At 40.8% G+C, this 27159-nt stretch overlaps 1 protein-coding gene across 5 annotated transcripts in view, besides 3 other annotated features; it reads right to left on the reverse strand.

Moving 5' to 3' along the window:
- The window catches only part of CUBN (cubilin), a 305846-nt gene that overhangs the window by 151733 nt on the left and 126954 nt on the right, over positions 1 to 27159 (reverse strand). For all 5 annotated transcript variants that reach the window (NM_001081.4, XM_011519710.3, XM_011519709.3 and 2 more), the window contains 3 exons: positions 14636 to 14817; positions 8407 to 8581; positions 6786 to 6955 (listed from right to left, as the gene is read on the reverse strand). In NM_001081.4, coding sequence (NP_001072.2) covers positions 6786 to 6955; positions 8407 to 8581; positions 14636 to 14817 — 527 coding nt within the window. The remainder of the gene's footprint in view (positions 1 to 6785; positions 6956 to 8406; positions 8582 to 14635; positions 14818 to 27159) is intronic.
- Positions 9183 to 9342: a silencer, noted in NCBI's record as "fragment chr10:17026880-17027039 (GRCh37/hg19 assembly coordinates)". NCBI's record gives its function as "represses an EF-1alpha promoter that drives an FKBP-Casp9 reporter gene in an ReSE screen in phorbol 12-myristate 13-acetate-treated (for megakaryocytic differentiation) K562 erythroleukemia cells {active_cell/tissue: K562(+PMA)}" and the evidence as "EXISTENCE:reporter gene assay evidence [ECO:0000049][PMID:32094911]".
- Positions 20631 to 20775: an enhancer, noted in NCBI's record as "145 bp enhancer 283 fragment used in the MPRA reporter construct; PK_construct_4261". NCBI's record gives its function as "activates an SV40 promoter by MPRA in K562 cells {active_cell/tissue: K562}" and the evidence as "EXISTENCE:reporter gene assay evidence [ECO:0000049][PMID:23512712]".
- Positions 20694 to 20711: a transcriptional cis regulatory region, noted in NCBI's record as "GATA motif; enhancer activity is reduced when this motif is scrambled". NCBI's record gives its function as "necessary for full MPRA enhancer 283 activity {active_cell/tissue: K562}" and the evidence as "EXISTENCE:site-directed mutagenesis evidence [ECO:0005528][PMID:23512712]".

The raw sequence follows: 27159 nt of genomic DNA on the forward strand, positions 1-27159 counted from the left end.
TGGCTCACTGCAACCTCCACCTCCTGGGTTCAAGCGATTCTCATGCCTCAGCCTCCCAAGTCGCTGGGATTACAAGCACACACCACCACACCCAGCTAGTTTTTGTATTTTTAATAGAGATGGGGTTTCACCATGTTGGCCAGGATGGTCTCGACCTCCTGACTTCATGATCTGCCTGCCTAGGCCTCCCAAAGTGCTGGGATTACAGTTGTGAGCCACCACGCCAGGCCAAGACCCTTCTTTTGCTTCAATATTTATTTCACCTTTATTCCTTTTTTTTTTTTTTTTTAACAGACAGGGTCTTGCTTGTTGCCTAGGCTGAAGTGCAGTGGCAAGATCTGTGCTCACTGCAACTCCTGCCTTCCACCCTCAAGTGATCCTTTCACCTCAGCCTCCCAAGTAGCTGGGATTACAGGTCTGTGCCACCATGCTTGGCTAATTTTTTAACTGTTTTGTAGAGACAGGGTCTCACTACATTGCCCAGGCTGGTCTCAAACTCCTGGGCTCAAGTGATCCTCTTGCCTCATGCTCCCAAAGTGCTGAAATTACAGGTGTGATCTACCATACACATCCTCACCTTCATTCTTAAAGGAATTTTAGGAGAGCATAGAGTTCCTGGCCGGTAGTTACTTTTTTTTCTTTAATCTGAATATATCAGTCTATTGTCTTTAAAAAAATTTTTTTTACTTCCAATCCTGGTTGAAAAGTCAGCATTTAGTCTCTACTTTCTAACAAGCAATCTGTTCCCCACCTACCTACTCCTCTAGCTGACTGTAACATTTTCTCTTTATCTTTGTTATTATTATTTTTTTTTTAGAAAAGTACGTCATTCTATTTATCCTGCTTTGCTGTTTGGGTTCCTTGAGATTCTATTTTTTTAATGATGACTTCCACCAGTTTTGGAAAAATTTTAGTCAGTAGCTCTTCAAAGTTTGCTTCTGTTCCATATATCTCTCTTTTCCTTGTGAGACTCCAATTAAGTGTGTGTTATATATTTTCTGAGTGTCCTCTATGTGTCTTAACCTCTCTTATATATTTTTCATCCTTTTTTTATCCATACTTTTTTCTGAGTAGATTCTTGACTTATCTTCCAGTTCACTGTTTCTCTGTAGTCACTATTTATCTCTTCATCTCTGCCTAGTCCCCCCAAAAAGCCTTCTGCTGAGGTGTTAATTTTAGCTATGGTATTTATCAGTTCTCAAATTTGTAGTTGGGTCTTCTTCATATTGCAATGTCACTTTCTATAGTATGCAGTTCCTTGCTGAAAGTTCTCAGTTTGACTTTTATTTCCATGAGTTGAGTAATCACAGTTGTATAGCAAGTGTGCCAGGTAACTTTACTATCTGGCATATTAGTGGATTTGTTTCTATTGTCTCTTACTCATATTACATCTCATTTTTGTTATATTGTCCCCTCAAGTACATGACTATCTTTGATAGTGTGTTGGTGATACACACAGGATACAGGGAAATACTAGGTAGAAGAGGGCAGTTCCCCAGCAAAGGCCCCACTCTCAAGCCTGGAAACCCATGGCCCTAAATGGGAACAGGCATTCCTGTTTCCACACCCAAATTTTGCCTTTTGGCCTGCCACACCCCCTTATCCTGTATTCATATAAACCCCTAAACCCAGGCTTCAAAAGTAGACAAGCAGATGAGCAGATAAATAGAAGAGCAGAGGAGCAGAAGAGCAGTACAGCAGAGAAAGAGAGAAGAGAAGGAGCATCTGAACATTGAGAGGAGTTCAGCCAGGGTCAGTCAAAGAAGAAATCGGCCATGGGACAGTGAACTCCAGGGGGAGGATCATCTTCCCTTTCCACCCCCTTTCCAGCTCCCCATCCATCCCACTGGGAGCTGTCTCCATCATCCAGTAAAACCCCTGCATTCACCATCCTTCAAGTCCATGTGTGACCTGATTCTTCCTGGACACCAAACAAGAAGATGGGTACCAAGAGGACACTGAGCTGGTTAAAACTTAAGCCATCTGAGGATGGCAGAGCTAAAAGAGCACTGTAGCATGCCCACTAGGGCTCTGGGAGTTGTAGGCACCCACCCCTAGATGCTACCATGGGGCCCGGAGTCCAGAAGCACTCTCCCCGGCTCCTGCACCCCTGTCTGCATGTTTCCCTGCCCATAAGGGGTTTGAACCTGCAGCACTTGAACAGATGAGACACACCCCTGTTGAATGTCCTGTAACGGAGGTCAGGGAACTCTCTTATTTAATCGGCTATTACACATGAAAAATTATAGGTAGAAATGATGTCTAGAATGTTAATATCTCTCTTTGAAGAAGATTTTAAATTGCTTTTGCTGGATGTCCAGTGCCTAGATGCACGAGAAATACAAGATTCACTCTCATTATTTCATGGCTTCAGATTTTGGGGATTCACTCAGGTAACTCAAATATTGAATGCAGTCTCAGTGAAGGCTGTTTTCCTTTCATTTTACCTAAGATACGAATGGCTTACCAAGACTGCCACTCTAACAAAGCTCTGGACTCAAACTTTGGTCCTCTTTGTCCTGAGAGGCTCTCAGAAGAGCTGCTAAACCTTTGTGGATCAGTAAAGGCCCTGCAGGAAAAAATGGTCCCAAAGACTGGACTCACACCTCTCTCAGATATTCACTCAGAAACTTCACACTACCTCATGAACCATTGGCTACTTTTAGAAAGATGTTTGTAAATGTCATCCAAAATTTCAAAATGGTCTTTGTCAGGAGAGTAGCTGGATGTTCTACGCTTTCAGTCTGCATGATGCTTAGCCAACTTAGACTCTGAAGACTCATTTGGATGGTTAATATACAGTGATAAATAAACTTAACTTTCATTAATAACCTAATCTTGTAAAATAATATTGAAATCATACCATTAAAATGGACTACTTGGAAAAATGTAAACAAACCTTTGAGTTTTCTTGGGTTAAATTTGAAAGAAGCTAGCCAGTTGGATCTTGTGTAGGAAACTATCAGGACACTAACATTGAAAGATCCAGTAACCAAGAGAATCTGGTTTGTATTTGAATGAAATGTTGATATACACAAATGAAAGATGAAAAACTTTTTGTTAGAAAATCAGGTAGCCCGGAACAAGACAAGGGTGCCCTCTCTAACCACTCCTATTCAACATAGTATTGGAAGTTCAGGTCACAGCAATCAGGCAAGAGAAAGAAACAAAGCATATTCAAATAGAGAGGAAGTCAAATTGTCTCTGTTGCAGATGACATGATTGTATATTTAGAAAACCCCATCGTCGCAGCCCAAAATCTTCTTAAGCTGAGACAGAGGCAACTTCAGCAAAGTCTCAGGACACAAAATCAATGTGCAAAAATCACAAGCATTCCTATACACCAGTAATAGCCAAACAGAAAGCCAAATCATGAGTGAACTCCCATTCACAATTGCTACAAAGAGAATAAAATACCTAGGAATACAACTTACAAGGGATGTGAAGGATCTCTTCAAGGAGAATTATAAACCACTGCTCAAGGAAATAAGAGAGGACACAAACAAATGGAAAAACATTCCATGCTCGTGGATAGGAAGAATTAATATCATGAAAATGGCCATAATGTCCAAAGTAATTTATAGATTCAATGCTATATCCATCAAGCTACCATTGACTTTCTTCACGGAATTAGAAAAAAAACTCTAAATTTCATGTGGAACAAAAAAAGAGCCTGTACAGCCAAGACAATCCTAAGCAAAAAGAACAAAGCTGGAGACATAACGTTACCTGACTTCAAACTATACTACAAGCCTACAGTAACCAAAACAGCATGGTACTGGTACCAAAAGAGATATACAGACCAATGGAACAGAAGAAAGGCCTCAGAAATAACGCCACACATCTACAACCATCTGATCTTTAACAAACCTGACAAAAACAAGCAATGAGGAAAGGATTCCCTATTTAATAAATGGTGTTGGGAAAACTGGCTAGCCATATGCAGAAAACTGAAATTGGACCCCTTCCTTACACCTTATACAAAAATTAACTCAAGATGGATTAAAGACTTAAATGTAAAACCTAAAATCATAAAAACCCTAGAAGAAAACCCAGGCAATACCATTCAGGACATAGGCATGGGCAAAGACTTCATGATTTAAACACCAAGAGCAATGGTAACAAAAGCCAAAATTAACAAATGGGATCTAATTAAACTAAAGAGCTTCTTCATAGCAAAAGAAACTATCACCAGAGTGAACAGGCAATCTACAGAATAGGAGAAAATTTTTGCAATCTATCCAGCTGACAAAGGGCTAATATCCAGAATCTACAAGAAACTTAAACAAATTTACAAGAAAAAAATAAACAACCTCATCAAAAAGTGGGCAAAGGATATGAACAGACACTTAAAAGAAGACATTTATGCAGCCAACAAACATATGAAAAAAAAAGTTCACCATCACTGGTCCTTAGAGAAATGTAAATCAAAACCACAATGAGATACCATCTCACGCCAGTTAGAATGGCAATTATTAAAAAGTCAGGAAACAACAGATGCTGGCAAGGATGTGGAGAAATAGGAACGTTTTTACTCGTTGGTGGGAGTGTAAATTAGTTCAACCATTGTGGAAGACAATGTGGCAATTCCTCAAGGATCTAGAACCAGTAATACCATTTGACTCAGCAATCCCATTACTGGGTATATAACCAAAGGATTATAAATCATTCTACTATAAAGAGAGATGCACACGTATGTTTACTGCAGCACTATTCACAATGGCAAAGACTTGGAACCAACCCAAATGTGCATCAATGATAGGCTGGATAAAGAAAATGTGGCACCTATACACCATGGAATACTTTGTAGCCATAAAAAAGGATGAGTTCATGTACTTTGAAGGGACATGGATGAAGCTGGAAACCATCATTCTCAGCAAACTAACACAGGAACAAAAAACCAAACACCGCATATTCTCACTCGTAAGTGGGAGTTGAACAATGAGAACGCATGGACACAGGGAGGGGAACATCACACACCGGTGCCTGTCGAGGGGTGGGGGGCTAAGGGAGGGATAGCATTAGGAGAAATACCTTATGTAGATGACGGGTTGATGAGTGCAGCAAACCACCATGGCACGTGTATACCTATATAACAAACCTGCAGCTTCTACACATGTATCCCAGAACTTAAAGTATAATAATAATAACAATAATAAAAGAAAATTAGGTAGCCAAAAAATTTAAAAACAGAAAGAAAAAAAAAACCCTTCAAAATAGAACTTCATTCACTCTTATATGAAGCGCAAAGCATTAGTTTCAGGTAGGAATGCATTAAAAGTGTTGGTAGTAGTGATGGGCCAGAAGGCAGGAAAATGCTTGGTAGAAGAGGTTGAGGTCCCTGGTGAGTGCTCCACCCTCAAGCCTGGATCTGCCACTCAAAGTGAGAACCATCCCTGTTTTCCCACCCAAATGTTGCCTTTTGGCCTGCCCTGCGCCCATCTGGTGCCCATAAGAACTCCAAGCCCCAGACTCAGCAGACACACACACACACACACACACACAGAAGAGAGAAGTGTCTGAACGTCAAGAGGAGAAGAAGGAGCTGGACATCGGAGACTATGGTCAGAGAGGAGTTCAGCCAAGGAAGGCCAGACTCCTGCAACCCACTTCCTCCAACCTCTTTCAAGCTCGCCTTCCTGCTGAGAGCCACTTCTACCTCTTAATAAAGTTATCCACATTCACCACCCTTCAATTTGTTCGTGTGACCTGATTCTTCCTGGACACTGGACAAGAACTTGGGTACCAAGAGGTCAGGGTGTAAAAGGCTGTCACCCTGACCCTCCACTGAGCTGGTTAACACTTAGCTGTCCATGGACGGCAAATGCTAAAAGAGCACTGATTGCAACACATGCCCTTTGGGGCTTTTGGGGTCGCAGACACCCTCTCCGAGATGGCAGAGCTAAAAGAGCATTGTAACAAGCTTGGACGCTGCCGTGGGCCGTGCACAGAGCCTGCTCCCACCAGAGATGAGGGACCAGCCAGTTCTAGGGTTCGTTCACCCCGGTTCCTGCATTCGTCTATTCGTGTGCTCCCTCCTGAATTCAGCGAGGCAGCCAAGCAAATAAGCCACCCCCTTCGCAAGTCCTGTAAAGGAGTCAAGGAAACCCTCCCATCTCAGTAGCAGAAACTCTTTTTGTCATCTGACCAATTCATAGCCATATTCCTTCTCCTCCACTCCCATCTCCCAACCTGTTCTATCAGAACATGGATTTGTTCAAGTAGCAAATCAAGATATCCTTGTCTCAAGAGAAGCAGAATCCTGTGAAAATCCCAGATGCTTAATAATAATAATTGATCTAAAACATTTATGATAAATCTATTCCATGATACTTTCTGGATCTCTTTTGTAGTCAGTTCTGGCTAATGATATATCAGGGGCTTTTTTGGAAAATTTGCTTTCCTTATTAAAAGAAACACAAACAAAACAGAAATAGTTAACACTATTGCTTCTTCCTTTTTTCAGAGGTAGACTCAGGTAGGACATTCAGATAAAAACCACTGCAGCCATTTTTTGACAATGAAGTAACAACAAAATGAAAAGCCAACAGGCTAATAATGGTAGCGCAGAAACTGACTTGCTAAAAAACCTAGAGATTATCTACTTCCTGATTTGTTTTTAGGTAAAAAATAAATGTCCTTATATTTTAAGTTGCCAATAGTTTGGTTTCCTATGAATCGACATTAAAAACACCCATAAGTAATACATTCACTAAATATGCTTATATGGCAGTGTTTTGACCGAGGTTTGACTGGAGACAATGCTTGAAATTTATGTCACTTACCATAATACAAGAGTCTTGTGGTTCAAGATCAAAGTCAGTGAAGTTCAAGAGAACACGATGATTTCTGTCAACCCGAATGACCCAAGAACAGTCTGTGTTGCTCCTATAAGGACTGGGGTAATTTGGAGAATGAATCTCTCCACTGGGAGCCTGGAAAATCCCACCACAACCTGGAAGTGGGGAACACAATTATTTCATGAGAGGAATCATGGATGCTCGAAAATAATCCATTACCTGGTTGTATAGATCAATACATTACTTTGCTTGAATCAGTTAGTCGATGCTAAAAACACTGAAGAATTTGATATCCACATTAAGCCATTTATCCCAACAGAATAAGAAGGGATGACATGGATGATACTAAGAAAATACTTCAAACACTTTAAATACAGATGCCAAAATTTATTTTAAAAATAATTAAAAGGAAACGCAAATGAAATCACGTTTTCACAAAGCCATGGAATGCTGCTTCTTCACTGTCCTCTAAAAATATAGCATACTGGAAGAATAACATGTTTCCTTCCAAGAATTGTGATAATCTAGTAGTGCATGCATTTAAAAATAATTTAATATCTACCCTTTAAAAATTTAATATTCGGATATAGTACAGTTACTTAGGTTTTTTAAAATTCCTTTGATGTTATCAAATACCTGTTAGTTCAATGTCTTCTCTATGACCCACCATTTCTTGGATTTATGATAATATAAGCCAATAATAGAAAACTTTGGCACTATTTTCTAATAATGGAGAATCATTCAGGGGTAATCTAAACACTAAATGTGTGTGTCTGTGTGTGTGTGTGTGTTTATTTAAATTCCTACATAATTAACTTTAGGGGAGAGCTCTTATATAGATACCTTGGTTATGATAGAGTTGAAGAAGTGTGGCCATAAGGTAGTCTGGAATCACATATGTGCTTTGACGTTTTCTAGCTGTGGAACTTTGGGCAAGACACTAACCTTTCTAAGCTTCAGTGTCCACACTGGTAAGATGAGGATATGAAGCGGACTTCCCTCACAGGGTGGTTGTAAGGACTAGAGATAATCCTCATAAAATAGTTAGAAAAGTGCCTAGTACACAGTAAGCATTCTGCAAATGTGGCTATCTCTAGTAGTTGCATATGCTAACATCTGTTACACTATTTTGTGCCATAGATTTTTGCTATAGTTTAAAAATATACAATAGGCAATTTATTTAGACTGCCTAAAATCTTGGGCAGAAAGTCACCATAGAACACACAGTAATTCCTTGGGATTCACAAATTTAATGTTTGCAAGTTTGATATTTGCCAAGAATCTAAAGGTCTGTACTATGGCATGAGGTATGGAGGCTGGTTAAGAGGTACGAGCCCTTGGAGAGTGGGTCTGGCCTATCACCCTAGTTCTGCTCTCACCATGGACTTACACACTTACATTCTTGCTTTCACATATGTGGTGACCCTTAGGAAGTTAAACTTTATCACGTATTTTAGGGAAGGGTATATGTCAGGTCTCAGTAGGCTGCCCTTTGGGATGTCACTAAGTTATAAGTGTGTAGCCTTCATACGTTTTCCCAAGCATTTCATGAAATTTAACGAGGGCTCGGCTTAAGTACTTTAGGAAACCTCCTTTTCTCACTCACCTCCAGTGACTGCTTGCCATGACGCATTGAAGCCTCTCCCATTTATGGACAAGTCGGTCTTGAATCGAATTGCTAGCTCATTTCCAGTGCTGGAGACCTGCATGGGGTTCTCAGGTGATCTCTGGGTACACAGTTGGGCTATTCTGGGAGAGTGGAAATCGGGGCCTCCATAGATCTAACATGGGATGTAGGAAAAAAGACTTTAAAAAATATTTTAAGCAATTACAGGCCCTTGCTCTGGCTCATTTTGACCCCCGGCTCCTTGGGTTCTATGATTATTAGAGATTGAAATCTCAGCCTCCCTGGGTGGGGATGCACTATAAACTTGAGCTGAGTTTTCAAAGGCACTCCCTGTGCCTTAGGAACACACAAGTTCAATCACCCATAAAATGCCTGCTTGTTTCATCAGCCAGAATTGCAGAGGAGGACGGAGTAGATTATTCCAGAATCTTCCCTATCTCCTCTTTTTGTCTTTTTCATGTCTTTGTGGGCTTTCCTGCTTTCTCTAGCAGAAACATTACAGATCATACAATATTAAGTCGATTTTCTGAATTTTAGGGGGACCTTTAAAAAAAGAAATGTCTGATTTTCTAACTCTGGCACATATGATTAGTCTTAGCATAAAGCCATTTTGTTATGAAAGTTGAGTTCACTGAAGGCTACCAATATCCCAGTTATATTTTTAGGAATTTCCACCTACCCTGCAAACTGAATGTTTTCTAAGACCACACATTGAATATAACACGTATGCTTCTTTAGGAGGAGTGGAAATACCAGCTCTCTGGGTGTGTTTTGGAGCCTAAGGAAGGGGATGCTATGCACCCTCCCTGTGCCTGCTCCCAGCACGCCCATGCCCAGGAACCTGACTAAGTGCATCCCACTTTTCTGCTCAGGGATTGCCCTAGACTCTGCCTTAGTCTCCAGATGGCTCCTTCTGATATAGACAGCAGACAGGGAAACACTGGGTAGAAGAGGGAGGTTCCCTGGCAAAGGCCCCATCCCCAAGCCTGGAAACCCACGGCCCTAAACGGGAACAGGCATTCTTGTTTCCACACCCAGATGTTGCCTTTTGGCCTGCCACGTCCCCATCTCCTGTACCCATATAAACCTCCAACTCCAGGCTCCACGAGCAGATGGGCAGATGAATAGAAGAGCAGAGGAGGAGAAGAACAACGTGGCAGAGAAGGAGAGAGAAGGAGCATCTGAACGTTGAGAGGAGTTTGGCCGGGGATGGTCAGACAGTTGATCATCCACAGCACAGCGAAACTCTATGGGGAAGATCATCTTCACACTCCATCCCCTTTCCAGTTCCCCATCCATTCCAATGACAGCTACCTCCATCGCCCAATAAAATCCCCACATTCACCATCCTTCAAGTCCGTGTGTGACCTGATTCTTCCTGGATGCCAGACAGGAAGTCGGGTACCAAGAGTCACTGAGCTGGTTAACACTTGAGCCCTCTGTGGATGGCAGAGCTAAAAGAATACTGTAGCCTGCCCATGAGGGCTTTGAGAGTCACAGGCACCCACCACTAGACCGTACTGTGGGTAGCATCTTGCCTGGGTTCCTGCACCTGCCAATCTGCATGCTCCCCCTCCCATAAGGGGTTTGAGGGCACCACAGCCGAACAGATGTGCCACACCCCTGTCACAGGTCCTGCGACGGGGTGGTCAGGGAACTCTCTTGTTTCACTTCTAGATCTATCACACATGACTTCAGACCACGTAGGCTCCTCCAAATCTCCCAAACTGTCTGTCTGACTGGAATCCAATACCCCAGTGACATAGTCCTCTGGAAAGAGTCTCCTTGGGCTCACGGAGGGCATCTTGCAGGCAAGGATAGCCTAGGCCAGGCCTCCAGGAGGCCTCACAGACAGGTTTCTCAGTCTCCTCTGGGTCCTGTTTATCTCCTGTGTGTATGTGTGGGGCTGGGGAGGGTGGCGAAGGCAGGATGGGAATCAAATAGAAGATGCTGACTCCTCATCTTCAGGTCTTTTCAAACTTCGATTTGTAAAAGAAAGACCATCTTTGGGAGACAGTTTTCAAAGAGTTGGTATCTGAGACCTTCATAACTGCAACTGCAGCCATCCATGTACAGGCACTCAGGACCAGAGCCAGGAAGGCGGCTCTCAGGGGGATCTGGGCACAGCGCCCTCCCACCCTCCCTCTGTGCCTTTCCCCCACCTCGGGACACTCTGCCCCCATTCCTCAGCACCCCCGGCCCTTGCCCACCCTCAGGACCCACTGCTGACTGATAGGAAAATCACTCAAGTGTTCTCTGGGGAGAGGGAGTGAGAACAAGAAGCCTACTTTGGGGAGGAGTGTGTGATTTGAATCTATAATGATTTCTTTGTCTGATTAATTCCCCCCAGCCATCCGGTAAAGGCCAAAATGAATGAAACGGCTGTTACACAGAGGGCTGAGCACAAGGACAGTAATTGCAAAGGAATGAAGCATACCGACTGCTTCAGGCTTATTTTTATTAGGAGGAGCTGATGTTTGTGCACTCCCCCCAAGTCCCATCAAAAGCAGGGCTTTAGGAAGAGCCCTGTGTGGCCCCTGACACGTACACATATGCAAATGGCAGAAGCAAGCTTGCATGGTGTGTAGAGCCAGCTTTCTTTCCCATTTTCAAGATCTCCCTACCCCCTCGCCTAGGGCACAGTCCCCACAGCATGAAACTGACAGCATGTGCTCCCAATCACCCAAGCCCAATCAACAGCACATATTTGGAAAGACCACTGAACGCCAAGTGTTAAGTTCTAACAAAGAAAACTCGCACGTCGGCAAAATATTCTTTGTTTTCTCTGCTCAAACATCCCCTTGAGATCACAAACATAATGGGTATGAGTTGGCTGGACCCAGAAGCCTCTAGAAGAATAAACACTGCCACTTTGGACATTATTTACTTCCCTTCTTGCAAGGCTGAGCTCACAAAAGCCTATCGCAGAGAGGCCAGACTGAGGTAACTGTCCACACCAAGCAATTGTCCTGGTTTACTGCTCCAAGGAGTGGATTTCCTTTTCTGCCTAATGCCAGTTCAGAATCTCTCTAAAGACTTTCTCAGAGATTAAAGTAAAATCAGGCAGAGTGTTTCCATGACCGAAACAATGGTCCTTCTGGCTTCCACAAATAAAACCGATAGTACATGACTCTTCAAAAGAAGAAAAAGATGGAAAGAATTTCAGGGCATGGTTCATTCAACTACAGCATATGACTAAACTTTGGGGGAAAAAGAAGTGGTCTGATGATCAGAGATTTAAAAATGTGTTTTAGCAAATGCTCAGGATGGAGGACATTTCAAAGCCTATGGTTTTAATCTGTTTTGAACATTTCTTTCTGCTCTGTTAGCTCCATTTATTGTTACAATCAAGTCAGCATTCCGGGGTTATGAGTAACCAAACAGCTGCTGCTTTTTGCAATGGGCCACTTTCCGGACTCTGATTTTTCAAGGGAAAAATGGCTTCTGAATAAATTTTGTGAAACCCAGGTAAGCCCAATACTTAGTGGCTGTAAGGCCCCACTTGACTACACTCACATGCAGGCTGAGAAAGTCAGCAAAGTTTTTAGATCACATGCCCATCATGGGTAACAAACTTTTAAACCCACTACTAACATGTTATCAGCAGCTAGGGAGGGGTGAAAAAAACCATTCCACCACCATTAGCCCAATTTTATTACAGCGTTTTCCAAATGAACATTTGCAGAAAAGCAAAACAAGGCTTTTGAACAAAATGTCAGAGGGTTGCTCCTTTTAGCTTTCAGAAAAAAACTTTCCCCAAATATTTAAGAGCCTCAGAACAGTCCCCCAAACCCTGCTTTTGGTGGAACACGGGAGGCCACTGCAATGTCAGCTTGTCATAATAAAAATAAGCCCCAAGCAGACTGTGCGTCTTCTCACAGCCATTTCTGTCAGGCATAGGGCTCTCCTTGAAAGCCGCTTCTGCCTGGAGTCCCTGATTTCGTCCCTGAGGCCCCAGGCCTGCTTGTAGGGAACAGCCCCTGTCTCTACTTTCTCCCGTAATGGGTATGACACAACCCGAAACACAATTGGCCCATTTATAATTTGCCAAGTGGGCAACAATCACATGCACTTTGGAGTATGAAAATAAAGGGTTTGGAACATTGCACATAGCTGTGGAAGATCCACCTCCAGCCCTTTGTAAGTGATAAGGGGTCTTATGCAACCAAGCAATATCCTTGCAGGCGAGCGAGGCCATCTGAACATTCTGCACATGGATGCTAGTCCTACTTTGTGCTGTGAGTGTGAATTTCAGGAGGCACCTTGTTTCTCCTCTGAGATGGAGTCATGACTTGGCAACAGTCCTTCCGTGAAGACTTTCCAGTTCTATCTGATTTCATTTACAATTACAATAGTAAATTGTCTGTAGAGCTACAGTAAATGAAATCAGAGATAGAAATGGTAAGTCTTTTAGAGCCACTAAAAGTAATTCCTTGTGACTCTCACTGAGAAGGATGACTTTACTAAATTACTAAAAGTGATGAATTACTAAAAGTAATTCCTAGTGACTCTCACTGAGGGGATAATTCCATTTCTTTTCAAGGTAAGAACTTGTTTTATAATTAAAGTTTTTGTTAAAGTTTCCTGTAACGTCCATACTATTCATATCGACCCCTTGCACCCTGCACCCATCTATGGTCTCAGGATTTACTGGAGTGTTGAGCAGTGACTGGCTTCAGTTATTAGCTCTTCCACTCCCCTTCCATGTGGTCATGGAAAAGCCCATTAATCTTTTTGAGCGTTAGTTTTGACCACTGTAAAATGGGAATAAAATTCCCCTCTTACCTCATGGAACGATTTAATGTTTAAATGAGAACATGGAGGTAAAAATTCCTCTGTACAGTGCCCTAAATGTGCATTATTATGGTGTGACAATCAGAGACGTTGATGCTTTCATTCATTCCACAAACATCTATTGAGTGTTTACTCTTTGCCAGGTACTCTGTGGAGCTGGGAATATAGCAGTAAAACAAAGCAAACAAACATCTAGCCTCATGGAATTTAGGTTCTACTGGATATAGAATCCTTGTCATGCTGTGCTACAGCAGTCCCTAGAGCTGAGGTCACAGGATTTTTGTGTGTATTTGGAAGATATTAAAGTTTGCAGACAGGTCAAAGTTCAAAGTATACATAATAAATGTGTTACATACATGTAACTATATATAACATATTACATAATATGTAGTGTATTATATACTTACATTAAAATATATAATATAATAATCTGTTATAATAAATATTAATTATTGTAATTATTAATTATTATAATTTATAGTGTAAGTATATAATATACTACATAATATATTACATATATCTGGGACATATCTATATATGTTATAAAATTATATAAGAATATTACATAAATAATGTAACTATATAGTACGTTATATAATTATAATGAATTATATAATTTTATAAACTACAACAAAATATTTTAAAGCTATATATTTAAAATATATATATATACACACACACACACATATTCTAATGACTAAATTCCTGCAATTAAACATTGATTATAATAAACTTTTGGGCTCAAGATTCTCAAAGACTGTTTTAATGATCCAAGACACACCCTTCGCAGAAGTGCTGGGAAAATTTTCATCTTCAAATGCCTCATGCTACCTAGGTGGCCATTTTTTTACAAAAGCGCTCTGCGGCAGATGGCCCTGGCGGCCCCTTGAAGAGCAGCGGCAGCCCTGGTAGGCCATCCCTGTGCTTGTTGGCAGTGCCCAGTCTCTATGCTCCGCCACACGAATGCTCTTTCTGGGGGAGCTTTCTCAGACTGCAAGTGTGAGGTGTTAGCCATCCCAAGTGCAGTCCTTACCAATGGGAACCAGAGTTGGCGGACCAGTGCCTCCACTGTGGTCCTTCAGAAGGTCCCAGCGGATGGAGCCCAAGTTGCCCCCAGGGGCTCCCTCTGCTGGTTCCCCCTCCTCCTTTCCTTCACTCACTCGTCCTGGGCTCCGGCTTCCTGGCATTACCTCCTAACTCAGCTGCTGCAAGGCCCTCAGGCATTGCTTCAGGAAAACCCAAACCACACATTAATCCCATGTCTACCAAATGATCACCGAAGGGCTGATGCTCATTAAAATGTCTAAGAATAGAACACTGCTGACTACTGGAAAGAATTCGGAATCTTGGCAGAGTGATTTCCTGTTCTACCCCAAACTTTGGAATGTGCTGAAAAAACCATCTCACTTCCTACCTCCAAGACATCAAAGTTGCACCTTGAATGATACTCCACATCGAAGTCATGGATGGTGAGCTGAATGCTACTCCCGGGGTCCGTCCTAATGTACCAGATACACTCCTTGTTTGGTGGATACCTGTTGGGGAACCCGGGGCTGCTGAAGGAGCCTGTGGCCCCAGACAGCTCTCCACCACAACCTGTTAAAACAGAAAGGTTCAGTCAGTTCAAAGTGGGCAACAGCACATGGAAAATAATTCCAAATTCAACTCACCGAAAGGCCATCAAAAATATACAATGCTTAATTTAGGAGAAAACCGTTAAGTTACAATAAAGTTATAATTATGCAGTTATAAAACAATGAGAAAAAAATCATGGCTACAACTTATTAAGTTTATCCTTTCAAAAACACTGGATTATATATAATTTAGTACAATAATGCTCGATCCTTTTTCTTACCATATCAAACCTTCGTACTTTAAAAAAAAGTCATTCTAATTTTAGATTTTCTTTATTATAATAAGGTAAGAATTACATAACATAGTCGGAAGTACAATGGACCGTGTGAGCCGTGGTCGTGAACTTCAGGTCCCTGGGCCTTCAGTGTCCTTGTAGCTAATACATTATTCTGCAGTCCCGTGCAGATCTAAGAACTAGAATTTTAAGGGCTAAAAATCCTTAGCTTTGTACCAAAGACTGTAAGAAATAAACAAGTAAATTATATAGTTCCTAACTCAGCAAATTTACATTAAAAAAAATACAATGGATATAGAAAAATCCAACCAAGGAAAAAGACAACAGCATGTGTTTCAGAATCTTGATATGTCATGCCTTAGAAAGCCATTCAGGCAGACCATGACAACAAATAATCAAATGCTGTAGCCTGCGGCACACAGTAGAATAATGCCACCTTTCATTGAGTCCTCATATGGGCTTTCCATGTGTTTTCTGTTTCCGTACTCATAAGGACCACATGAGGTAGGTACTGTTAGGATCCAATTCTTAAATGAGCAAATCAGTGCAAACAGAGGTGGTGTGGATTTTCCAAGGTTAATTGATGCTAGGATACTAACTGAGGTGATCTGGTTGTATCTTAATACTTCATTACTATACCGCACAGGCTCTCAAATCGTTTGCAGGAATTCAGACAGAGATTTCAGTATGGAGAGGAAGAGAAAACTTTGCAGAAGAGGTAAAATTTGAGGAAGGCTTATGAGAGACACAATTAGAAAAGAAATTATCTTGTTTTCCAACAGCAATTTTTGGTGATTAACAAAACATTTTTTGCTCTTAACATTTCTGGGCCTCTTTTTCTGTTTTTTTTTTTTTTTAAATATTCTTTATTGGTTGGTAAATTCTTCCAATTACCTTCTCTTATTCTTCATCAAGGCTTTTTATGTGCGATCATCAAAAAGTCAGGAAACAACAAGTGCTGGAGAGGATGTGGAGAAATAGGAACACTTTTACACTGTTGGTGGGACTGTAAACTAGTTCAACCATTGTGGAAGTCAGTGTGGCAATTCCTCAGGGATCTAGAACTACAAATACCATTTGACCCAGCCATCCCATTACTGGGTATATACCCAAAGGAATATAAATCATGCTGCTATAAAGACACATGCACATGTATGTTTATTCCGGCACTATTCACAAGAGCAAAGACTTGGAACCAACCCAAATGTCCAACAATGATAGACTGGATTAAGAAAATGTGGCACATATACACCATGGAATACTATGCAGCCATAAAAAATGATGAGTTCATATCCTTTTTAGGGACATGGATGAAGCTGGAAACCATCATTCTGAGCAAACTGTCACAAGGACAGAAAACCAAACACCACATGTTCTCACTCATAGGTGGGAATTCAACAATGAGAACACTTGGACACAGGGTGGGGAACATCACACACCAAGGTCTGTCATGGGGTGGGGGAAGGGGGGAGGGATAGCATTAGGAGGAATACCTAATGTAAATGACGAGTTAATGGGTGCAGCACACCAACATGGCACATGCATACATATGTGACAAACCTGCACATTGTGCACATGTACCCTAGAACTTAAAGTATAATAATAAAAAATAAAATAAAAGTAACAGTGCCTCCTCACTCCATTATGAGTAAACGTGCATTTTTCACATAACATTAAACTACCATGGCTTCTAAAGTAAGACACCAAGTCTGAGATCTTGTCTACTGTCCACTCTATGCAAATTCCTCCTGTACAGTGAGTTAGAAGAAAAGCTTTTAAAAGTTAAGGAGTTAAAAAAAAAATCTCCGTGCAGAATTCCCCACTGCACTGAGAAGCACTGAGAATTCTAAGAATCTTGATTCGGCAGAGAAATCTGACTCTAGCTCAAAGCACTACTATCTTCTTGACTTCTCAGTCTCCTTTCACTTGAAAACCTCTGCGTTTTCAGACTTTAAATGTATTGCACAGAGCAATATCTTTCCTGTGTCCTAAAAAGTTCCGGCTTTTATTTCTAAAGCCTACGAAAAAGCTGTTTAAAATTAGATGTGCTGACATTGTTTAGAGACTATGATGAATCTTAAAAAAACACAAGTACCGTAAAAGATGAGAAAATATTTGTCCGACTACAACAACACATGGCAAATATTCCTGAAGCCAAAATCATCACAGATTGTCCGTATCTCCTGTACCAATGCCCAACTCCAGGGAGCACCGCTCACAGGACATTCTATAACAGGATGCTTCCGGAGTGGTACAACACAGTGCCTCATGTAACTCGTGTTAAGATGTACCACCTTTTACTAAAATACATTACAGGTAAGCAAAGCCTGTTACTGAAATTTTTTTCTCAACTTGCATTTTCAGCTCAGATGGTTCTTTCTATCAGTAGTATCAAATAAATTATCCAATGGAAAAAATCTAGAGGAAAATAACTTTATGGCCACATGATATAAAAGATAAGAAGGAAATGAAAGTTTAGATAGCTCATTTCTGCATTTTTATTTAGCATTCGTTCATCAGCCAATCTGATTCAATTTTTTTATCTTAGTTGATTCACATAAAACTCTGTGTAACATTTTTCCATTGTCTTTTCCAATTGTTTTACATTTCCTTGTGAATTCCTTCGCAAATAACAGGATACTAATACCCTTAAATTGTCGCTGTAAACTGGAATGGTAATACAGATTCGGGGCATTCAGTATTGCTTTAAAAAAATTACAGTATAGTTATATGGACCCACAATGTCTTTTTTCCTAGTATTTAAAGCAAATAATCCACAAGGTTTTCTTTAATAAAAAGAGCAAAATTTTACTTTTAAGTATATCTTGTTAATAGCACATATATGTATGCTTCTTAAAGAAAAATTTCTTTTTCTTTTCTTTTTTTTTTTTTAGTAGAGATGGGGTTTCATCACCATGTTGGCCAGGCTTGTCTCGAACTCCTGACCTTAGGTGATCCACCCGCCTTGGCCTCCCAAAGTGCTGGGATTACAGGTGTGAGCCACCATGCCCAGCTGAGAAATTTCAATTTTATAAGTGATACTCTGTCAGGAAAAATATTGTATGATCATGAGAAAGAGGGAAAGAAACAGTTAGGGCTTGAAATCTCTGAAGTTTTCTTTTTCTCCTTCATGCTCTCACTACCTCTGAGGATTAACATATCAAAAGGAAACATTTGAATTAAAAGTTCACAGCAAATGCAAAATAGGATAGATTAATTTAGTGGTACTTTCTGGTCAAAATTATACAGTACTAGGAGGGTGCAGCACACCAACATGGCATATGCATACATATGTAACAAACCTGCACGTTGTAATTCTGGTAATTACGGTAGAAACTTAACTGTCTTCGTATTTCTAAAATTTGAAAGAGGTAAAATAGCTTCCCAATTCCATTTATTTATTCCTTCATTCACTCATAAGTGTTTATTGAGCATCTGCCCATAATACAAGCAGTGCTATAGAAGCCAAGCATATTTAATATCTCTTGAAAAAAAGAAAGACATTTATAGACATAAAAAGTGTTATTGCCCACATGTCTTCTTGCAAGTTATTAAACCCTTTTTGCTTCTCCTTCAGTTTACTAAGAGTAATTTCAATAAGTTTTTATTTGAAGAAAACAACCTGAATACTATTCTATCCTTTACATGTTAATCACTGGTAAGTTACAAATAAGAATAAATAACTCATCCTGCCATTACCAGTCATATTTGCGACTCTGGATGCATGACAAAGGGATAACAAACAGGGAAGGGAAAAAGAGATGGAGAATACACAAGTCTGGAGAGGAAAGAAGTTATATAAACCAATACCCATCAGGAAATAACACAGGCAGGGATGTTTAGACCACCAACATCCTTGTCGTCATCCGGTTACCTGTCTGGTTGAATGAACAATAAAATGTAAAAGAAATACAGAAGTTTTTAACACCGGTCATTCATAATCTAAAATAGATGACAATGATTTAGAAAAGCCTTTCAAAAGAAGATAAAAGAAGATAATTTAAAAGATGAAAATACCAGCCAGGCGTGGTAGTTCACACCTGTAATCCCAACACTTTAGGAGACCAAGGTGGGCAGATCACCTGAGGTCATGAGTTCGAGACCAGCCTGTCCCAACATGGTGAAACCCTGTCTCTACTAAAAATGCAAAAATTAGCTGGGCGTGGTGGTATGCGCCTGTAATCTCAACTATTCAGGAGACTGAGGCAGGAGAATTGCTTGAACCCAGGAGGTGGAAGTCGCATTGAGCCGAGATCACAGCACTGCTCTCCAGCCTGGGCGACAGAGCAAGACCCCGTCTCAAAAATGAAAAAGATGAAAATACCAACCAAGAAAGGAACAGTGACATGAGGAATAAAGAGTTTTGAGAGAAATAGACACAGTGGCTCTTTGTCACTTTGGTAAGAGAAAGTTTTCATGGAGTAGACACGATTTTAGAACTGCTTAATTGGCATGTTAGATTGCAAAACTTTTGGAAACATTATAGTGTAACAGAGGAAGCATGGGCTGTAGTTCAGACAAATGGGTTCCTAAACTGGCTGTGATAGTTCCTAGGTAAGTAATCTAACCTTTCTTTCATCTATAGCTGTATGAATACTTACTTCATAGGGTTGTTACATAGAATGAATGAAACAATCCAAAGTTTTTAGCTAAATGTTGTGCATATCATAATCCTTTCACACATGCTGTGTATTCTATCTTTACATTTTTTTTTTACTCTTTTCTTTTGAAACAGGATCTTGCTATATTGCCCAGGCTGGTCTTGAACTCCTAGGCTCAAGTGATCCACCTTTCCCTCCCAAAGTGCTGGGATTACAGGTATGAGCCACCACACCTGGCCGTGTTTTGTATCCTCACAAGACTTTATCCCCAGATTTGAGACAAAGACTTGGAGCTAGAAGAGGAATTACTGGTTAAAAAGCTATCATGAATAGCTAGAGAAGAGGTAAGAAATTGGTTTTTCATTAAGGTGCACAAAAATTTTTTAAAAGACAATCCATATTTTTATGGTAGTTCAGTTCTCAAGTGCTTTTATTTTATTTGAATTATTTTTATTTGAAATGCATTATTTTATTTGAAATTAATCATGACAACGGGAGGCAGGTAACAATGATGTCAGGCCCATTGTAGAGGTGAGCAAAGTGAGGTTCAAGAAAGCTGTGGAACATGCTCATATCACTTAGTGAATGGCAGATGTGGGTACAAAACCCTATTGTGACACCCACCCTCCCCGATCCTGACCTCCACTTCTGTGTTCTCTCTCCCCCATGCCTTGCCGAGAACTTCAGCTCAAAGGCACGGAACTAACAATGTTGAATGCTGCCCTCATTACTGTCCTGTCCCTCCACTGAAGACAATCACCATAGCAACCTGGAAAACGTAAACAAAGCAAAAATCTTTTAATTGACTTTGAGGCAAAATCTAACAGAATACATCATTAGACATCAGCTGAACTGGAATAAAATAATGCCCTGAAGAGAAGCCTATGTTTTTCAGTTTTAAAGAGTTAATCTTTATAAAAGTTTTAGAGCTGGTGACTGATCATCTGTTTGCCTTGATTTTCCTCCAAACTCTCACTCATCTGCCGAAAGGAAGTGCTTGCTTTATCTGCAGGAAGCACATTGATCTGCTGAACTCATAACAACCAAGAGTTACAAGCTGTTGCTAAACCTGCTTACTTGTGTAGATAACTTAAAATACCTTCATAAAAGAACTTCACTAATATTGTTTTGGTTTTTGTCCAAAACAAGCCATGAGTTATAAAATTCCAGTACTGAAACATTTAATAATAATCTCCTATGTAGGTACTATCTTTAAGTTCGTATCTGTGTGTTTTTAATAAGAGCTTTAATAAAAGCAAACCAGTAATGAAACAGCTAAATGGAATCCAAGGCACAAAATTTAAAAAGTAACTGCTGTATTGCCCGGCGACTGCTCAAATGCAGTCAGCGCTTTGCTGGCTGGCATTTTCCTGAAACTATATGCCATAAACTGATGGCATCAGGAGGAATAACATCTTGAAATACACATGGCTAAAGCCCAAAGAGGATGGCAGAAAAGGAAGAGAGAAGTGATTCATCACCGACACCCTCCCACCCTTATCCCTTCATTCCTAAAGGAAATGCCTGGGAAATCAACAGTTGCTGTTAAAACGAAGCCAAAAGCCAAGGCACAGTGAAAGAGAATTAAATTTTAAAAGTAATTAGTGAGGATGTTCACGTGCTTCATTAAAATGCTCAATTTATATTTTAATAGCTTTTTTTCTATAACTTAACAATAAAAACTCTTTCTGCTCTATAAGACCTTGAGATGTGCTTCATTGGCAAGGCCAGTTTGCCTTCATTGTGTAAAAAGGCGGCTTGTGGGCTGGGCGCAGTGGCTCATGCCTGTAATCCCAGCACTTAGGGAGGCAAAGGCAGGCCGATCACAAGGTCTGGAGATCGAGACCATCCTGGCAAACATGGTGAAACCCTGTCTCTATTAAAAATATAAAAAATTAGCTGGGCGTGGTGGCAGGCACCTGTAGTCCCAGCTACTCAGGAGGCTGAGGCAGGAGAATCACTTGAACCCAAGAAGTGGAGGTTGCAGTGAGCTGAGATCACACCACTGCACTCCAGCCTGGCAACAGAGTGAGACTCCATCTAAAAAAAAAAAAAAAAAGGCAGCTTGTGGAGGAAGGGAGGACACAGAAGAGAAACTGCCAGCAAGGACCCTTTTGGTAAGGCAGGTGTGATGTGAATTGGTAACTAAGAGCTCAGAATCTGGGGAAGGCCCAACCCAAGGCAAAGTGAACTATTTCCTGGAGTGAGTATACAGGCCTCACTTCCGATACATCTATGAAACATAAAAAAACGTAATTACAAGGATTTTGAACAGAAACTTTCAGGTCAGGGAGGGTGGGGAAGTGGACAGGAATATGTGCTCCTTAAAATGGCCAAAGTTGTCCAAAGGTGACTGGCATGTAATGAGAACCACAAAAAGTCAGTAATTCCTGGTTTGATGTTACCAGTTAATTCCCCAACATTTCACAGGTATGTGGCCAAGTGATAGGCATCTGTCCTACTAGGGTCACTAGTCCTCTCTGAACACAAGGCCAAGGGTGGAGCTCCTCAAATTCATAAGGACATGAAGCATGTGCAGATGGATTTTTCTGAGGGATTTAGTCAGATAGCATGTATTCTGTGAGGAAGGGGACACAAACTGGAGTGATCACGAGATGAAATCAAAGAAGAAAATCAAGTAATATAAAGGCCAAGGAACATAAAATTTCCTTGAGAAAAAAGAAGGAAGAAAGAAGAGAGTGAAAAGGAAGAAGAGGACAAAACATCGTGACTCCAGGAGAGGAGAGAGTTGTCCCTGTATTGGGTTGAACACTGTCCCCCGAGACTTATGCCTACCAGGAACCTGTGACTGTGACCTTTTTGGAGGAAAGGGCCTTGGCAGATGCAGTCAAGTTAAAATGAGATCATACTGGATTGGGGTGGAACTGAAATCCAATATTCTTGGTATCCTTATACGAAGAGGGAAATTTGGTCCCAGACACCAAGAAGGAAGAAGGTCATGTGTGGATAGAGGCAGAAATTGGAGTTATGCATCTACAAGGCTTAGAAAGCCAAAGACAGCCATCAATCAACAGAAGCTAGAAGCAGCAAGGAAGGGTCTTCCCTAGAGCCGTCAGAGGGATGACCCTGCCAACACCTTGACTTTGGAATTCCAGCCTCCAGAATAAAGAGAACAAATTTCTGTTGTCCCATGCCACCCAGTTTGTGGTACTTAGTTACAGTAGCCCTAAGAAGCTAATGTATCCTCATTCTTTCCCTGATAATTGAGGTGGCCAAACTCCCAGGTAGGTACAAAATGGTAACAACTATTTGTGTGGTATTCAAGGAGTGCACATTTGTAAACTTTCTGTATTCCATCTTGTAATTATTACTTCCTATTTGTCATCTTGAGGTTTAGAGGATGGTTGGTCAAGGGTAAGATTTTCATGAAAACAGAAAAGGTCTATTGTTGAGAAAACTAGCAGCAAATACAGGGCCAGGTATCACATCAGGAAGAAACAGGTAAACCCAAGAACCAGGGAGTTAAGTCATAACGATTTTTAGTGTTGGAGAGTCAATGAACGTTTAGAAAGTTTCATGTTCCATGGAGACTTCATCCTTGCCCCATATTTTGTGATAATCCATTTTATTCGACTAATTTCTATACAGCAGTGGATATAAAGTAGAGCATCGGGTTTCAATGGTAGAGATACAATAAAAAACAGTGAAAGAATAAGTTATTGCATGAAGTCAGTGACTTGGAAAACAGATACAAGAAGCTTAGAAATCAATGCTGTGGACCGCTATATAATGACCTTTACATTCCTATTCAAGATGTCATATAAATACTCAAAGTTAAGACTGTCATAGCCATCTGACTATCTAAGATGGCCTAGATCTAAATACTGATGTGTTTCCCTTTAGTACATCATCAAAGAGAAAGAAATCCAAAGAAGCCATAATTTTGGAGTTTCTGTGTAATATAAATTTTAATTTCCTGTATACAAAAGGATACTATCTTTCGTCTTAACCTAGAGAAGTTAGCCAATCTTGTCATCTTTTCACTTTGATTAACTTTATCAGTTTCCTTTTAAGCTACTAATTTCAATCAAATTAAAAAATGGTTTCCCAGTAGAAATCCCTTGCTTACAATTCTTCAGGAGAAATCAATCATTTGATCAATCTCTTTTCCCTCTCCTTGGATGTTTTTGAAATGATTGAAGACTTCTAAACAAAGTTTAGTATAAAAAGGTACAAGGAAAGAAATGAGACTAAGATAACTGTACTAACCTTCCCTGAAATAAGCAGTCATGCCTAAGGCTACTGAAAGCTTCTTTATGAAATCCCTCAAACAAACAAAGACAGAGAAAACATGTTCTCTGTAGGCAGTTTCCAAGTTCAACAGTCATACTTCTATTTAGAAATATTATTCAAACCTGCATTCCTTCAATTTCATTATTTTGGTACACAGGGCTCTTGCAGGGAAAAGCTCAAAGAGCCTCCAGGGACCTACATTGCAGGCCTCTCCCTGATTCCTTCCCTCACCTCCTCCAACCTCTAACCTTCCCTCTGCAGGGAGAGGACTCCACCCGGAGAAATGGACACAGGTGGGCAGCACCACGTCCATGGCAGTGGTGTTCTGTGACCCTTTAAACTCTGTCCAAATCTGAGCCTCAAGGTTGTTTTCTCTGATTACAACATCCCATGCTGCAGGCCCCTCGCAGGGCAAATCCTGCATCCAGCCAGCCTGGGTCCTTAGCTTAGGGGAAGAAAAACAACTAAATTACCCAAATCCTCACATGCTCCACCCCATTCCCATGGTCCACTCTAGCCCGGCCAAGTTGTTCTGGGAGCAGCTACCCTTTTACTCTTCACTTTAATATAACTTCTCCCTCTTGTAAGCGAGTTTGTATAACTAAACCTTGGCAACTGACCAGATGATCTCCGTGGTTTCTCCCAGATCGGTGGATTCCATCAGCAACATATATAGCAGCTCCAGAACAGCACTTTATAAATGAGTAATAAAGCAGAAATTGTGTTTAAGGATTGCAAATAACATCAGCTATTTCGAACTTGTCTTTTGCCTAGCAATGCGCCCCTCCGCCCCAACCCACATATTATTGCTACTTGAACCTAAAGAAAGAATGAATTGTGTCACTTAGTGGGAAGCCTTTGAAACTGGATCACCATTTACTTGGGTAAGATTGCACACATCTTTTTAAAAACATTTATTATTACGGGAATTTATAAAATTACCTACTATAAGCTCTGACCTTCTTTGCATTGCAATATCATTTGACCTTTTTTTGCAATGAAAAGCTGTGGGGAAAAAATATTTGCTTTCAGGCACCATCGTGCTACTTATTGCACGGCCTTTGAGTTTGACATCACACACTGAGTTTTGTGTTCTGATTCCATTGCTTAGTGGATGTGTAAGTTTGGACACATCACTTAACTTGTCTCAGGCTTCTTCCTCAGTTTTCTCATCCATAATAAGGGAATGATAATGCTCATTTAAGAAAATTATTGGGATGAGACATGAGATTGTGTTCGGAATTGGTTTCTTCCGGTGGGTTCTTGGTCTCGCTGACTTCAAGAATGAAGCCACGGACCTGAACAGTGAGTGTTACAGTTCTTAAAGATGGTGTGTCCGGAGTTTGCTCCTTCAAATGTTCAGATGTGTCCGGAGTTTCTTCCTTCTGGTGCGTTCGTGATCTTGCTGACTTCAGGTGTCAAGCTGCAGACCTTCACAGTGAGTGTTACAGCTCTTAAAGGTGGTGTGTGCAGAGTTGTTCATTCTTCCCGGTGGGTTTCTGGTCTCGCTGGCTTCAGGAGTGAAGGTGGAGACCTTTGGAGTGAGTGTTACAGCTCATAAACGTAGTGCGGACCCAAAGAGTGAGCAGCAGCAAGATTTATTGTGAAGAGCAAAAGAACAAAGCTTCCACAGCGTGCAGGGCAACCCCAGTGGATTGCCACTGGTGCGCAGGAGGCCAGCTTTTATTCCCTTATTTGGCCCCGCCCACATCCTGCTGATTGGTCCATTTTACAGAGCGCTGGTTGGTCCACTTTACAGAGTGCTGATTGGTCCGTTTTACAGGGTGCTGATTGGTCTGTTTTTACAGAGTGCTGATTGGTGCATTTACAAACTTTTAGCTAGCCACAGAGCGCCGACTGGCGCATTTACAATGCTTCAAGCTAGACAGAAAAGTTCTCCGAGTCCCCACTGGACCCAGGAAGTCCAGCTGGCTTCACTTCTCAAGATCATATTTTTAAATTACACATGTTGAGTCATGTTTTAAAATGATAACATCAACAACAGTAATAGTGAATGAGATGTCAATTAAACCAATGCACTAAGCGTTTAATCATATTTTCATTCACTCTTTACATGGCAAGATAGTTTATTTTTATCATAATATCTTCAGACAAATTTAAGATTACATTTAGGTGGTAAAATCTATATTATTTATCCTGCATTCCTTCAATTTCATTATTTTGGTACACAGGGTCAAAATAGTCTATATTTGAGTAGCCTGTGGAACTAGGAGGAGAAAAAAATCAGGGACAGAGTATATTATTGTCATTACTGATCTACAGATTATCAAATTCTACTAACTCTTATAAGTGGTAGTTACTGTCCTCCACCAGATTTGTTCTGTTTGTGAGACAATGCTGCTGCCACCTGGCACTGCTTCCTCTGTTCCTCTGAGTACACAGTGCATTCACACAAAACAAGTCCTTGGATATGTAATGTTTGAAACAAATATGGCAACATTTAAGTCAATGGTCGAAAAGAGAAACCTCTGGGGACAAAAATTCAGGTTCTACGCTGAACGTCACATTTGTTCTGAGTTGGCTTAGAACTCAAGTTTCTACACTTCATTTTTGGCTGCTATGATATTTGAAACTGAAAAAAAAAAGTGTGGTTTTGGTTTTTGTGTCATACGAAAAAGTGTGGAATCCCCTGCAAAGTACATGCATTCCTCTATTGGGGATATTGTTGCCAGGGAACCAGAACACAAACAGAAGTTTCGAGAAAGCCCTTTCTTTGGCCCAGATCTCAAGGACTGTTATTACAAATTGTGCAATCTGTGATTTGGGAAGGTCATGGTGGTTTGAGGGTTATTTTTTTTTCTTTTTATAACTGTTTCAAAGAGTGGCAATAGAAATAGAACTCCAACTTTTTCAAACAGTGGCGACATGGGAATGGGGAGGCGAGACTCCTGAGAGGCCCTTGCTGGTGAAGAGACTCAGAGCCAACATGAGATGAAGGTCAACTGTGTGGATGTGTATTTACTGCTGTCGTCAAGGAGGCAGAAATGTCAGGAGTGAGCTTTTCCACTCATTCTGAAAGGTCTGCATATGCACAGCTTTAATGCTGCCTCTGATCATTGGGACCTTGCTGGAGAAACTCTGAAGTCAAGGCCAAAAGAGCTGTGGGATTTTCTTAGTCACTATCCCAACTTTACAACAAGGAGTTATTTAGAAACAGATTTCTTAGAAATGAGCATCGTCCATTAAGAATTT

Source organism: Homo sapiens, chromosome 10 (assembly GCF_000001405.40).
Source record: "Homo sapiens chromosome 10, GRCh38.p14 Primary Assembly".
NCBI lineage: Eukaryota > Metazoa > Chordata > Mammalia > Primates > Hominidae > Homo > Homo sapiens.